Genomic DNA, 15,725 nt, shown 5'->3' with positions numbered 1-15,725 from the left:
GTAACCAAAACAGCATGATACTGATACAAAAACAGACACATAGGCCCATGGAACAGAATAAAGAACCCAGAAATAAAGTTACACACCTACAACCATCTGCTCTTTAACAGGGTCCACAAAAATAAGGAATGGGGAAAAGACTCCCTATTTAATAAATGGTGCTGGGATAACCAGCTATTCATATGCAGAAGAAGGAAACTGGTTCCCCACCTATCACTATGTACAAAAATAAACTCAAGATGAATTCAAGACTTAAGACCTCAAACCATAAAAATTTTAGAAAAAAAATACAAAACAAAACAAAAAACGGGAAATGCCCTTCTTGAAATTGACCTTGGCAAAGAATTTATGGCTAAGTCCTCAAAAGCAATTGAAACAAAAATTGACAAGTGGGACCTAATTAAAGAATTTCTGCACACTAAGAGAAACTATCAAGAAAGTAAACAGGCAACTTTTACTGTTTGTAAAATATTTGCACCCTATGGATCTGACAAAGGTCTAACATCCTGAATCTGTAAGGAACTTAACAAACAAAAAACAAATAACTCGATGAAAAAGTGAGCAAGGAACATGGACACATCTCAAAAGTTGACATATAAGTGACCAACACACGTATGAAAAAATGTTCATCATCAGACAAATGCAAATCAGAACTACAATGAGATACCATCTCACACCAGTCAGAATGACTTTTGTTGAAAAGTAAAAAAATAACAAATGTTGGCAAGTGTTTTCATGCTGCTGATAAAGACATACCCAAGACTGGGCAATTTACAAAAGAAAGACATTTATTTGGACTCACAGTTCCACATGACTGGGGAGGCCTCACACTCATGATGGAAGGCAAGGAGGAGCAAGTCACGTCTTACACGGATAGCGGCAGGCAAAAAAAGAGCTTGTTCAGGGCAACTCCCATTTTTAAAACCCTCAGATCTCATTAGACCCATTCACTATCATGAGAACAGCACAGGAAAGACCCATCCCCATAATTCAGTCATCTCCCACAATACGTGGGAATTCTGGGAGCTACAAGATGAGATTTGGATGGGGACACAGAGCCAAACCATATCTTTCTGCTCCTGGCACCTCCCAAATCTCATATCTTCACATTTCAAAACCAATCATGCCTTCCCAACCGTCCCCCAAAGTCTCAATTCATTTCAGCATTAACTCAAAAGTCCATAGTCCCAAGTCTCATCTGAGACAAGGCAAGTCCCTTTGACCTATGAGCCTGTAAAATCAAAAGCAAGTTAGTTACTTCCTAGACACCATGGGGATACAGGCATTGGGTAAATACAGCCAGAAGGGGCTACAAGCCCCATGCAAGTCTGAAACCCAGCAAGGCAGTCAAATCTTAAAGCTCCAAAATGATCTCCTTTGACTCCATGTCTCACATCCAGGTCACACTGATGCAAGAGGTGGGCTCCCACAGCCTTGGGCAGCTCTGCCCCTGTGGCTTTGCAGGGTATAGCAAGACTGAAGAGAAAGGGAACACATACACTGTTGGTGGGAATGTAAACCAGCTCAGCCACTGTGGAGTGTAGTTTGGAGATTTCTCAAAGAAATGAGTTGAACTATCATTCAACCCAGCAGTTCCCTACGGGTGTATACCCAAAGGAAAATAAGTCATTCTACCAAAAAGACACATGCACCCATATGTTCATTGCAGCACTATTCACAATAGGAAAGACATGAAATCAACCTAGGCACCCATCAACTCTGGATTGGAAAATCAAAACTGGTACATATGCACCATGCAATACTATGTAGACACAAAATAAGAATGAAATTATATCCTTTACAGTAACATGGATACAGCTGGAAATCATTATCCTAAGCAAAATATCACAGAAACAGAAAACCAAATACTGCAAGTCCTCACTTATAAGTGGGAGCAAAACACTGGGGATACATGGACATAAAGATGGGTCAATAAACACTGGGGAATACAAGAGGGAGGAAGGAGGAAGGTAAGGTTTGAAAACAACTACTTATTGAGTACTGTGCTCGCTATCTGGGTTCTGAGTTCAGTCATGTCCCAAATATTAACATCATGCAATATACCTTTGTAGCAAACCTGCACAAACACCCCCTGATTCTAAAATAAAAGTTGAAAAGGAAAAAAATAGTTCACAAAAATTCCAAAAGATCATGATAGACTACATGGGCCATAATATTGGGAATATTAGGAAGAAAACAAGACACCCTACTTCAACACTTAACGGAAACTCAAAGTGGGCAAGTCTATGTGATAGACACTGTGGGGGAAAAATGCTGAGAAAAGGCTGTAGTGATACAAGAACCATGAATAGGATGTGAGCAATCATCCAATCTAACTTAGCAAACAATAAGACACCAATCTCTATTATTTCTATTATTTTGTGAATTTAAGCACATAGCTTAACTCCTATTGATTTTAGTTTATTCACCAGAACATTCATACTGTTGAAATAGCCAATTTACTACTAAACTTAATGATCTCTGCTGTAGAGTGAAAGGTATTGAAATTTTGAAACAGTATATTTTTGAGTGACAATGTTCATCATTATCTGTTCTTTCCCTTCAGAAGAAAATCAAATAGCTTCATTCTGTAATGAACTCCAACCTCCCAGAGTTAAGGGAATCTTCATTTCCAGATGATTTTTGACTGACAAAAAATCCTGAGAGAATCATCCCCAGTGAGTGTGTCAGCTGTATAGAGAAATGGGCTAGACCAAATTGGAAACTAGATAAGAGCTCTCATCCAAATGAAGGCAGCAACAGACCTACATTTTTGACAAAATGATACACCGCAACCTAAATCCAAGTGGAATTTTTTTTATAACAGACTTCAGGCCAAACTCTAAATAATGTAGCTCATAATAACTGTATTACTTTCGGGGAAAATTAACAATGATAAGGACATGCTTTCTAAATGTCAGTGTGGTAATTCTTTTGGCTTTTTCATTTTTTAATTGAATATGGATATAATAAATATTTCCCAAGGCTACCAGAATAAATGAACAATCAGGATATAATTAAACAGCAGAACAATGTTTCTCTGCATGTATAAGTTGAAATCCATTTCTCCACCTAAGAAGTGTGTGTCTGTGTGTGTGTGTGTGAAGTGAGCAGCAAGTTAAGGAGGAAGAGGCTTCCAGAGTATTGTGTTTGTGTTAAGGTCTGATTCATTCCTCATGTCTCAGCTTGCCATATTTTTTCCATCACCATTGCAATGTTCTTTGGCCAACAGCCCTAGAAACTGGACAATATTCTGCCCAGTGCAGTTCCTATCCTACTTAGGTGACACTATTTTCTAGAAAAGCCTTCTGGACAGGTACCTGGATATGGAACAAGTGAAATGGAAGCTGAGACCACATGGGCCAGAAATAGAAACAGTATATTTCACACTGTCCTTATCAGAAGGCTACTTCAGAGTTCAGGTTCATAAAGCAGATTGAACACATGTGTTCTCTTTACTATTGACACCCCTCTAAAATGACACCTTAAAAGTTGTTGTTGTTGTTTTAAGATATAAACCCCAAAAAAACAAAAAGAATAGTAAAAGAGGTAAGTATTGACCAAACTTTAGAAACTAAGAGTAAAGCAATAGGGTGAATAGAAAAAGTGGCATACAGACTTAGCAGAACAGAAAAAGCTGAGGGCTATGGTTGTGGACACCGTATGGTGCCATTCAGATCCTCCTTCCTGAATGACCAAGATGTGGATGCACCTGCTGGGAGCACTGAGACAGACAGCCCTCAATTCCCACATTGCTTTGAGCATAGCCTCAGCAGAAGAAAGCTGTCAAGTCTAAGAGCATACCGCCTTCCCAGGGTATTCTAGATATGACTGATTGATATTGAGATACAGAGGCCCTGCCCCTCACTCAATTCTGGAGGGCTGTTCTAACTACAGCTGGGAACAACTGGGGTCTTCATTGGAACTGCATTGGAACTAAACTTTGTCCTTTCCTTACTTCCTTCCCTCCCACAAGAGATGATCTCAAAGGTATTCCTAGTATATTTCCTGCATATTTTCCAGAGAAATCAACTTGTAGAAGCTGGTTCCAGAAGTGAATCAAGAAAGTAGGTGGCATATATAAAATTTTGGTTTGGATCCCTTGTCATCCAGAAGGCAATGAATACTTTCCATCACCATCGCAATTTTCTTTGGCTGACGGCCCTAGAAACTGAACAATATTCTGCCCAGTGCAGCTCCTATCCTGCTTAGGTGACACTATTTTCTAGAAAAGCCATCACTGATAGTAGATATAATAGAATACATGTGAAACTTGGCATCAAGCAGCAACGCATGTGTTAAAAGTTTCACATATAGTGAACTGGAATTGGTATTCCAGGTCAAGGAACTGCATTAGCAGGTGCAATGTATCTGGCAAATTACACATTTCAGGTGCATTGTAACCATAAAGCAATGGAATTGGATACTTGTTGACAAGTGAAAGTGATACTTTCAGGGGGAAAACAATAACTAAAGACTGAGAACTAGTAGGCAATTAAAAACTAAGAGAGAAAGTCAGAAGGCCTTCTTTTAGCCTATAAATTTTTTTCACTTTCTTTACCAGGCAAGCAGAAGAAGCTTAGAAAAAGGTATAGCATTCAAGAGTAGAAGAGCTCCAACAAAGGTTAAGCTCCCAAACAAGTCATGTCTGTATGCCAAGATCAAAGCCCTGGCTTGAAAAACAGGACCCTGGCAAACAGGAGCATATGGGTTGATGCACTCAAAAATCTTGAAGTCCAAGATTCCTCTTAATGCTCTGTGCCAGCAGAAATGGGCAACTGCTCCCTGTTGAAGTTTAGTGCTGCCCCATAGCTTGAAGATAATGGAGATCCTCACCTACTAAATGAAACCATGCACCCCCACCCCAAGGTTATGCCCTCACCTCCCCTCTTGAAATAAATAAATAATGTCACATTACTTGTTGCACAAGCTAAGGGAGAAGTGGACCTCTGAGGAGAAGAAAATTCAGGATTCAGTCGACATGTATGTTTAGGAGCCAGGAAAATATAGGTGAGACTGGATTCTGAGTGTGCTAGACCAAAAGGAACAGAACAAAAGTTTAGGTAAAGGAAAGTTTATCACTATGGGACATTTTTGCAGAATATAGGATTTAATACTGTTGCAAGGACCTGCTGCTCAAGCTACCAGGAGGGTTCCAGAAGCAAGAAAATGTGATTACCCACATTCAGTGAGGTGGAAGTGCCAGAATTACACTGGCAGAGAGTAGCAAAATGTGATGGAATTGTTCTATATCCTGATTGTAGTGGTGGTTACATGAATCTAGTCATGTGTTAAAGGTCACAGATTATAAATTAAAAAATTAATTTTATAGTATGTCAGTGAAAACTTTGTCACAACTAATATATAGTCAGTTAATAGAAAACAATGCTCTATCACATTACTTATGAAAGAAATGCAAATTCAAATAACAAGAAACACAATTTCTCCCAACAAGTTGGCAACAATTAAACCAGTGGCAATACCAAGCATTGTTTTATCCTCATCTTCCTTACAATAACACGTTTAGATGTCCCAGAGTGTAGTCAGAATTTACTCTTTTCTCTGTCTAGACACATTCTTTAAGTAATCAAAACTAGTCTGAATGAGAAATTTAAAATTTTGTATAGTTTCAACAAAAGTTTTTACATTAATTTTTGTTTCAAAATTATTGATTTCATAATAATTTTTATTTTTAAATTATTGCATTAAAATATTATTATTGTAATTATTGAGGTTGTGGTGTCCACATCTTAAATTCTGCACTTGAGGTGGGTGTATTAGTCTATTTTCATACTGCTATGAAGAAATACCAAAGAATGGGTAATTTATAAAGAAAAAGAGGTTTAATGGACTCACAGGCCCACATACCTGGGGAGGACTCACAATCATGGCAGAAGGGGAAGGAGGAGCAAAGGCACATCTTACATGGTGGCAGGCAAGACAGTGTGTGCAGGGGAATTGCCTTTTATAAAACCATCAGATCTCATGAGACTTATTCACTATCATGAGACAACATGGGAAAAACCTGCCCCCATGATTCAACTATTTCACAACAGGTCTCTCCCACAACATGTAGGATTATGGGAGCTATGATTCAAGATGAGATTTGGGTGGGGACACAGCTAAACCATATCAGTGGGTGTGTATCTCTTACTCTGTGCTAGTGCCAGACATTAAATTCCACTTATATTCCACTTCATATATTTCTGTTCTATCTTCCCTGAATGCCAGGTTTTTGTTTTGTTTTGTTTGTTTTTTGAGACAGGATTTCACGTCCATCCCCCAGGCTGGAGTGCAATGGTATGATCTCAGCTCACTGCAACATCTGCCTCCCAGGCTCAAGCGATCCTCCCACCCCAGCCTCCCAAGTAGCTGGGACTCCAGACACACACACCATGCTTGGCTAACTTTAGTATTTTTTGTAGAGATAGGTTTCACTATGTTGTCCATGCTGGTCTCAAACTCCTGGCGTCAAGCAATCTGCCCACCTCAGACTCCCAAAGTGCTGGGATTATAGGCATGAGCTACTACACTTGGTCAGGTTTTTATATTTAATTATTCTATTGACATCTCCACTTGACTATCTAATACACATCTCAAAAACCTAACATATCCAAAATTGACTCTTGATCTCCGTACCACCAGCAATTTGCACCAGCCTTTCTCACTTCAGTAAACTATCCACACTTGACCTGTTCCAGGAATAGTGGGATTCCAGTTATGGTAGCTGGGTACAGTCAACAGTGTGGTGTTGTGTTGCTATTCCTCCACATCCACTTCTCTCCTCAATCTGGCCATCTTCCATCTGAACATACAGTTGTTTCAGGTCTCTTTATCTCTTTCAACACAGGTTAATATGAGCAACACCTCCCCTACTTTTCTATGCTCTGTGACTATGCTGTTAGACCTACCCCTGTGTCCTAATATTTACATATCTCCGGGTCTTAGGGTTTTTAGGACTTTGTAACTCTTCCCTAAATTCTAGGAATTCCAGGTCTATATTATAGTACATATTGTCTTAATATTCTCATATGCTCTTTCCTAGACACTAAAGTACATTTCATTCATAAAATTAATGGTGCTATTAATATCTGTGAATGATGTAACAAACATAAATATATAATTATTTGAAAAATATTTAAGACCAGATTCAAAATATTACATTTAAAAATTTACAAATCTTCCTGATTATGAAGATGATTTTTCCAATTCTTCCTTTCATTTGAATTTTAATAATAGCAATAATATTCTGATTCTGAAAACCTCCCCTCCTGATGCCAACCCTGGGAGTGATTTCACACTACATCCATACATAAAATAGACTTATTTAAAAGGAAATGAAACCAATCAAAATGTCATTGGCTCAATCCCTGCATGCTGCCTTCCTGATATGTATTACTTTTCTTCATATGCTATCATTTTATTTGCAAGGTGGAGGTTTGAGAACACTTGATGATTGAACTTGCCCACCAGAAATCCACTGTGTGATTGCTTCCCCCTGTGTAATATGAAAGTCATGGGAAAAATAAGATAAATCAATAGTTCTTTCTGCCAAGAACCTATTTATTATACCCCAAATGGTGTGCATAGCTGAGAAGGTATGGTTTTTATTTTGACAATAAGAACAGTGTTTTGTTAAACCAACTTTGTAATCATTGAAAGATTTCTTTTTCTTTCAAAGTACATTTTCTCTTGGAGTGTGTACCATACAACATAAACACATTAATCATCTCTTTGGCTATTTATTCATTCATTTGCATTCTCAACTTTTTGTTCTTCAAAACTCCACAAAGTTTTTCTTTTTTGCATTCTTTTTCTCTCTCCTTTCCTTTTCCACTTAGACTCATTGATCATTTTTCTCTTCCCATCTGAGCAGCTATAATAAGATCCAGGGTAACTGGATAACAAAATAAACAATGTCAACTGTTACTAGCAAAAAACATACATTTATTTAATGTAAGTTAATTATACAGCCATGTAGAACAGTGAAAAATGTGTCACTACAAAATATGCAGGCAAGCCATCAGTAACACAAAGGTCCTACCAAAGCTCCCAGTTGTCAATTTTGTCATCTGACAGCACTAGAAATACCTTCAGGCTCTTTATGTAACTAGCACATTCTTTTCTGTTATTCACTAACAAAATAGTAGTATCTTTCAATTTTTATTTTCTGCATTTTTATATCATTCATGAAAATCTGCATCTGTGGGTAGGCAAAAGGTAGTTTAGACTTTTGCAGCTGTAATACCATTTGTCTAAAGCAAAGTTCTAAGAAAATGTTCAAAATATTTTAAATGTAAGCATGATTGCAGAATCCTAGTAGCATCTGATAATGTAATAACCTGTTGATTGATGAGTATTAAAGCTTTCACTATTGATAATGTTATAACCTATTGACCTAACCATTTGTAACAGAAAAAACTCTTAGCCTTTGTACATTTCACAAGAGAGGTAAACTTGTGAAATGGCCTTTTGAGTTCAGTCCATTGATGACTTTTTAGACCCCTAATACCATTTGAGTGCTCTAAATATTTTTTCAAACTGATGAAATAACGTATTCAAAGATTAAATGAAAATTAGAAATTAAAAGATAGAGATAGCTAGTGAAATCAGTAAACGTAACCTAAAGTCTAGTAATTATATTGCATATTACTATAAAACTTGTCTAATACTAATATAAATCTCATAAGAAATATGCACTATATTTTATCCCAGAGTATACAGAGACAAAATTAGTAATAATATTGAACTCCCAACTAAACCAGAGTGGTTTGTAAGGCTCAAACTATTTAATACATGCAAAGTGTATTAGAGCTGTAAATGGCACACAGTAAACACTTAAGAAGCCATGATGATTGAATGATGACAAAGTAATATCACTTTTTTATTTTTATTTTTTGAGATGGAGTCTCATTCTGTCACCCAGGCTGGAGTGCAGTGGTGCAGTCTTGGCTAACTGAAACCTCTGCCTTCCGGTTCGAGTGATTCTCCCACCTCAGCCTCCGAAGTAGCTGAGATTACACGCATGCACCACCATGACCAATTAATTTTCATATTTTTAGTACAGACAGGTTTCACCATGTTGGCCAGGCTGGCCTCAAATTCCTGACCTCAAGAGATCCGCCTGCCTCAGCCTGCCAAAGTACTGTGATTACAGGCATGAGTCACCTTGCCCAGCCAATATTACCACTTTTAATAGCCAAGATTATCTCAATCTATCCAGGTATAAAGTGCAGGGAAGGAAAAGCACTTTAAAGTCTTATTATAAAAGAAGAGGCCCAAAGTGTCCCATGTCAACTGGGCCTCAACAGTACGCAATCAGCCTCTTTTCTATCCCTAAAAACTCTCTTTCTGAATGTCCAGTGGACCGATTTCAAGTATTTAATCTAATACAACAATCTCAGCATACCTGCAGGACTCTGCAGTAATATTGCTCCTGCACAGAGGAAGTCAGGCAGAAACCACTGTATTGAAATATTCTTAGTTTTGTACACAAAATATTCTTTTCTATCTCATTCATTTTTCTTTTCTTCTTATTCCAAAGAAAGGATAATTTTGCTACTATGTAAATAATTTCAATAAACAGGGTATCACGTTATCAATTGTCCTTTCAGTATCAACTTTTGAATATCTGAATTCCTCTAATCAGCATTTAAAATGTGATAAAATTGGAAAAATTCCCCAACTCATTATAAAAGATCAGTATTACATTGATGCCAAAACTAGATAATCATTTAAAGATTTCTGAATTTTCAGTATTGCTTACCTACTGTCACAAACAGTGGTATGTTTTCTATTTGGATTTTTTAAAACTAATTATATTGAAGAATTATATATAGTAAAATGTACCAATTTAAAATGTACAGGACAATCACTTCTGGCAAATTAACACACCATACAATGATTATCTCCTCAATATATAGAACACCTACATCACTCCAAAAAGTTCACTTCTGCCACTCTGCAGTGACTTTCAACCCACCTTCAGCCTAAAGGTGCTGAAAGTACCATAAGTAAATTTTATGCCAATCTAAGATGCTCAATTATTGCACAAATCAGAGATGCACAAACCATTGACACAATAATAATAGAGAAATAACAATAATACACAAAATCCAGCAGTATATTAAAAAGGTGTTTTATCAAACTGAGTAGCATTTTTTCCAGATTTGTAAGTAGGTTTAACATCTAATATAGAGAATGTGTGTGTGAGTGTGCGTGTACATCTAGGTATATGCAATAAATTGTAGCAACATTTGCTGAGTGGAGAAATATTTTAACTTGAGAATGAAACCTAAAATTTTAAAGTACAAGTAATAGATTAACTGGAAGATTTAAAATGTACTTAAAAACGAAAACGTTTAAGTAACAGGAATGAAAAAAATTGCAATATAAACAACAAATGAAAAGATGATGCTGTTTCTCTTGGAAAACCTCCTAAAAACCATAGAAATTTTTAAACATTTTAAGGGAAAAATCCACACTATGTTAGAAATTTACAATATAAGAAATTAAAGACAGCAAAACTAAAATATACTCTGTCATCAAAGAGACAATGACATTTTATTTAGCAAATATAAAAAAGAATAATAATATCCAAAGCTGTCACAGGTGCACATTGGACACACATTCTCAAATAACTGCTGATGGAAATATGCAAATTTAAATAGACAACAATTTGGCAACTCATATTAAGTGCTTTAAAATAGATATACTCTGCATGTCCATTTTTAGAAATGTACCCTAAAGAAATCATCTAATGAGAGTGCAAAGGCATAGGTTAAGTATGTTCTTCAAAAAACTCTTTCTAATAACAAAAACAAAAGGAAGATTTTTTACTTGCTATTATTTGAAATACAGTAAACAGACATGTGATATAATAGCATGTAGCTACTGCAAATTACACTGAGGGTCAGTGCTTATTAATACAGAAAATGAGAAAAGTATGTTGCTAAATGATGAAAATAGCTTTTCACAGAATCTGCTTATTGTATGATACCATACTTATCACAAAATATATTAGAATGCCCAGGGGAGAATAAGCTGTAGTCAACTGTACATTGGCATTAAGAATAAATTTTCATCGTTGCTCTATCACTTTCTCACTTTCTATTAAAAGTTATAGTGAACAGTAAATGACTGTGTATTTTAAAAATAATTCAAAGTTTTTAAAAAATAAGTAGTTTAATTTTTGAAAAAGTCTTGCTGTGTGATCAGTCGGTGATTTTTTTCTTTTTACAATAGCCACATGAGAGTCATCTTTTTCTTCTCAGTCTAGTTCCAGAATTATAATTCTCAATTTTCATTTATTCTATTATATTTTTATGTAAAAATAGGGTAATCATCAACAAAAGGGTCTCTTTTAGGTATGGAATTAATAACAAGAAGATATTTTCTTAAGTTCATTTAAAGTTGTTAAAACAAAAACTTTAGACAAAATATATTTAACAGAGTTTACTTGAGCAAAGAACAATTCACGAATTGAGCAGCACTCAGAACCAAAGGAAGTTTAGAGAGCTCCACTCTGAAACATGGAGAATATTTATAGACAGAACACAGAAGTAAAGTACAGAATAGCTTGACTGGTTACAGTGAGGCATTTGCCTTATTTGGACATCATCTGATCAGCTGGTTGCCTATAATTGGCTGAAGCTCAGCTGCTTGTGATTGGCTGAGATCTGGCTATCTCTAACAAAAAATATACTCCTTATCCAGGTTTTGGTTTGTTTGCATGCTAGGTTAGGATGCAGTTTATTAAGTGGAAACTCAAAAGTACAGAGGCAGTCTCAGGCCAAATTTAATTTAACAAAGTTAATATGACCCTGGTATTGTTCTAAGAACTTTGATATGTTAAATCATTGAATCCTAAAAACAACATTGTAATATAGGTAGTTTTATTATCCCCATTGTACAAGTGACAGAATTGAAGGACAAATAAGTGAAAATAAAAATAAATTTAAAAAGGTGCCCAGGGTTAGTCATCTAATACGTGAAAACTCTGGAATGAGAACACAGGCAATCTAGCTTCAGAATCTGTACTTTCAATCATTACTTATTGAATCTGTACTCTACTGCCCTACTACTGGTAATAAACATTCCCTTTGTTTATATTTAATTTATACATTAATCACAATATTTAAATAAGTAATAACTTTTCTGCTATTTTGAAAGTGCATTTAGTGGCTTGCATAACTAGGCTCTCTTTTCATAATTAGCCTTACAGGTTATCTGAAAGACATGGAATATAATTTTATTCTACTGAGACATTATTTCCTTCTCCTATTGAAACTAAATATATGCATATGGCAGGGTTGCTTTTACTTCCTACAAAGACACTGATGAACATTTCTGGCCTCAAGGAATAACACAATCACCAACCACACATATATTTAAACAGAAACATAAAATTTGACATACATTAACCAAAGGTTTTTGATATAATTCCAGACATTTTCATACTTAAAAACTTGTATAAAGTCTTAGAAATATAAGGTTAATTATTTTCATTATCTGAAAGAGCATAAACAGAGGAATGCCCAATTCTCTTATCAACAGTCATTCCAATGGGTTTCCTGAAGAATGTATTATTCAAGCAATATAAGTCGAAATCAGAACACAAAGATATCATTAGCTGGAATAATATCTGGAACTATAATTTTCATATGCACTCTGAACCAGAAGCTTAAGTGGAGTCTTTACTTCCCACTAAAACCCACATATAATTCTTGGGATATTATTAAAAGCCTCTGATTGGCCACATCTAATAAAGACATCAAGGGAGAGAGAAAGAGAGTCGATCCACTGACCAGGCTATCACAAGACCAAGCCACTTTGGCTGACCGGCTACTTAGGTGAGATAAAAAAAGAACTATAGGCATTATCTGCACTGATATCTTAATCCACATAGACACTGGAATAGGCAACATAAGTGATATTGTCGATGACTGTAATCCCTTTGGAATCAGAGAGCAGAGGGAGAGCAATCAAGTAGGCAGTGCTAGTGGCAGATAGAGACACTATCTCCTATAGGAAAATGTCTTAATACAAAGCTGTCAAGGAAAACAATTATCATCATTCCTCTAGCTTCACCTTTTTTTTCCATTAGCCCCTAGGCTCAGTTGGCTATCACAGCAAAAGTATCTCAATTTTACTCTTATTCAAGGCTTTATCAATATAAATAAGGCTATGTTAATGTCACCTTTTTTTTTTCAGCATAATGCTAATAATGAGTTCCTGACTCAACCCTGAGGATCTACCAAAATTTTCCTCCTTTGTTCACCAGCTGATGGTGAGTTTGATATAAGACTCAAGAAGTAGTAATGATTAAGGAAAGGACATGTGGCCAAGGTGGTCTTTGAGGTAAAGATTAAAACAACTCAATGTGTAGAAGTTTGGGAAGTTTCATTTCCAAGAGCAGCTCTTGGTAAGAAGGGCTTATTGAAAAGTGAAGAGAAAACAGAAACCAGAGGAGAAAAGGGTTAGGTTTATTGAAAAGGTTGTTTTCCTCCAATTATTTCAAATTTTTATGAATGCAGTTGTCTGTAATAGCCAGTTTACCACCTTTGAATTTTGCTTCAACAACGCTTCATGAGAAGTGAATGGAGATGTATGTCCCAAGGAACTACTTTATAGTGTGTTAGTATAGAAGAGTGTACACGACATACATTCAAAGCAGCACTGCAAACCATTCTCATAAGGAACCACTTTATATAGTGTGTTAGTATAGATGAGGAAACATATATACATTCAAAGCAACACTTCAAACAATTCTCACAAGTGAAACAAAGAGCATGGAATAATTCACTAGGTAAAATAGTATAGTTACAACTACAGCTTGAAATCTAGACTTTGTTTTAAATCTAACCTAACACAAGCATTGAGTCATATTTAAAATTTGTTTTAAAATGGTCTATTAAACATAGAAAAAAACATATCTCTGTTGTGCTATTCTGCAGTAAACCTTAAAGGATTAAGACAATATTAACCAGTTTAATACAATGTCCACCTACAAGAATCTTACTAGGAAACACATTTCTGGGGTCGGGCACTGTGGCTCACAGCCGTAATCCCAGCACTTTGGGAGGCCGAGGTGGGTGGATAGCATGAGTCCAGGAGTTTGAGAGCAGCTTGGCCAACATAGTGACGCCCTGTATCTAGAATTTTTTTTTCTAATTAGCTGAACACAGTGGTGCACACCTGTAGTCCCAGGTACTTGGGAGGCTGGTGTGGGAGAATCATCTGAGCCCGGGAGGCGGAGGTTGCAGTGAGCAGAGATCACACCACTGCACTCCAGCCTAGGCAACAGAACAGGACCATGTCTAAAAAAAAAAGAAAAAGAAGTGGAAAACATATTTCTTAAATGTGTTTAACTATCTATAACAATTGGAATGATGCAGTTTGCAAATATAATTTTATATATATATATATATATATATATATATATATATATTTTTTTTTTTTTTTTTTTTTTTTTTTTTTTTTTTTTGAGATAAGAGTCTTACTCTGTGGCCCAGGCTGGAGTGCAGTGGCAGGATCTCATTTCACTGCAACCTCCGCCTCCTGGGTTCAAGCAATTCTCCTGCCTCAGCCTCCCGAGTAGCTGGGACTATAGGCACACACCACCACGCCTTGCTAATTTTTGTATTCTTTTAGTAGAGACAGGATTTTGCCATGTTGGCCGGGCTGGTCTCGAACTTTTGACCTCAGGTGATCCACCCACCTCAGCCTCCCAAAGTGCTGGGATTACAGGCGTGAGTCACAGCGCCTGGCCACATTGTTAGACTTTTAAAACATTTTTTATACTCACAGAATAAATAAAACCAAATGATATTTCCATGAAGTTTACCATTAGTAATTTTAAAACACTCCCTTTAATTTACAACAAAATTAAACATTATTCTAAATGGCTTTCAAAACTGATTTATTAATATTAGTCTATCTGAGTCTTTGCTAGCAATATTAAAGAAAATAACAATCATATACCCTTACATAGTGGCTTCTATGTTCTGGGTATTATAAATTTAATCCAAACTTCTACCCCAGGAAGTAGGTAGCTACTCATAGACCGAGGAACTGAGGTTCTGTTAAGTGAAGTGATTTTCCTCAAAGGACAAAGCTGGGATTCAAACATAGACAAACAGCCTGCAGAGACTGCCCTCTTCATCACTGCATTTTATGAATGGCCTCTCCAGTAATACTGAATAAAAAATATAGATTAGGTGCACTGTAAGACACCATCTTTTCTAGAGATACTAATTTTTTTTCTTATTACCTAGTTCGGAACTGGATCTAAAATATTTCATCGTTACCACTATTTTGTGCATTGTTTGTACCCAAATGACTACTTCTACATTGCCTAACAATCCAGGGCCTATGCACTATACACAAATGCCTCTCCTGTCTCCTACACAAACTCTCAACACCACTTATGCGCTCAAGTGTATCTAGCGAAGAATGTATTAGGGCGTGGGAAGCATATACACTAATATCGATAATGGTTATTTACTAAGGCCCTCAAATAGAAGAGGCAGGAGAGGACATTTAATAGAACTACAGTGAGAGAGTCCTGAATTAGTGTTTCTGCCCATTGGGAAACTGTTCTTAGTTGATGCTCAAACACAGAAGCCACTCTTCCCATCAAAACTAGTCAAAAATGACTCCTATATTATGATGACACAAAGAACTCAGTCCTTAGAAAAACGAACTTTGGTTCAAGACAGCAGAAA

At 36.3% G+C, this 15,725-nt stretch overlaps 1 long non-coding RNA gene across 3 annotated transcripts in view; it reads left to right on the top strand.

The window, feature by feature from the left end:
• Nucleotides 1-15,725, top strand: part of LOC105378066 (uncharacterized) — a 122,515-nt gene that overhangs the window by 89,692 nt on the left and 17,098 nt on the right. For all 3 annotated transcript variants that reach the window (NR_187985.1, NR_187983.1, NR_187984.1), the window contains exon 5: nucleotides 13,213-13,288. This is a non-coding gene — a long non-coding RNA (uncharacterized LOC105378066). The remainder of the gene's footprint in view (nucleotides 1-13,212; nucleotides 13,289-15,725) is intronic.

This window comes from Homo sapiens, chromosome 6 (assembly GCF_000001405.40).
Source record: "Homo sapiens chromosome 6, GRCh38.p14 Primary Assembly".
NCBI classification, from domain to species: domain Eukaryota; kingdom Metazoa; phylum Chordata; class Mammalia; order Primates; family Hominidae; genus Homo; species Homo sapiens.
This window is presented reverse-complemented; position numbering and strand designations above follow the sequence as displayed.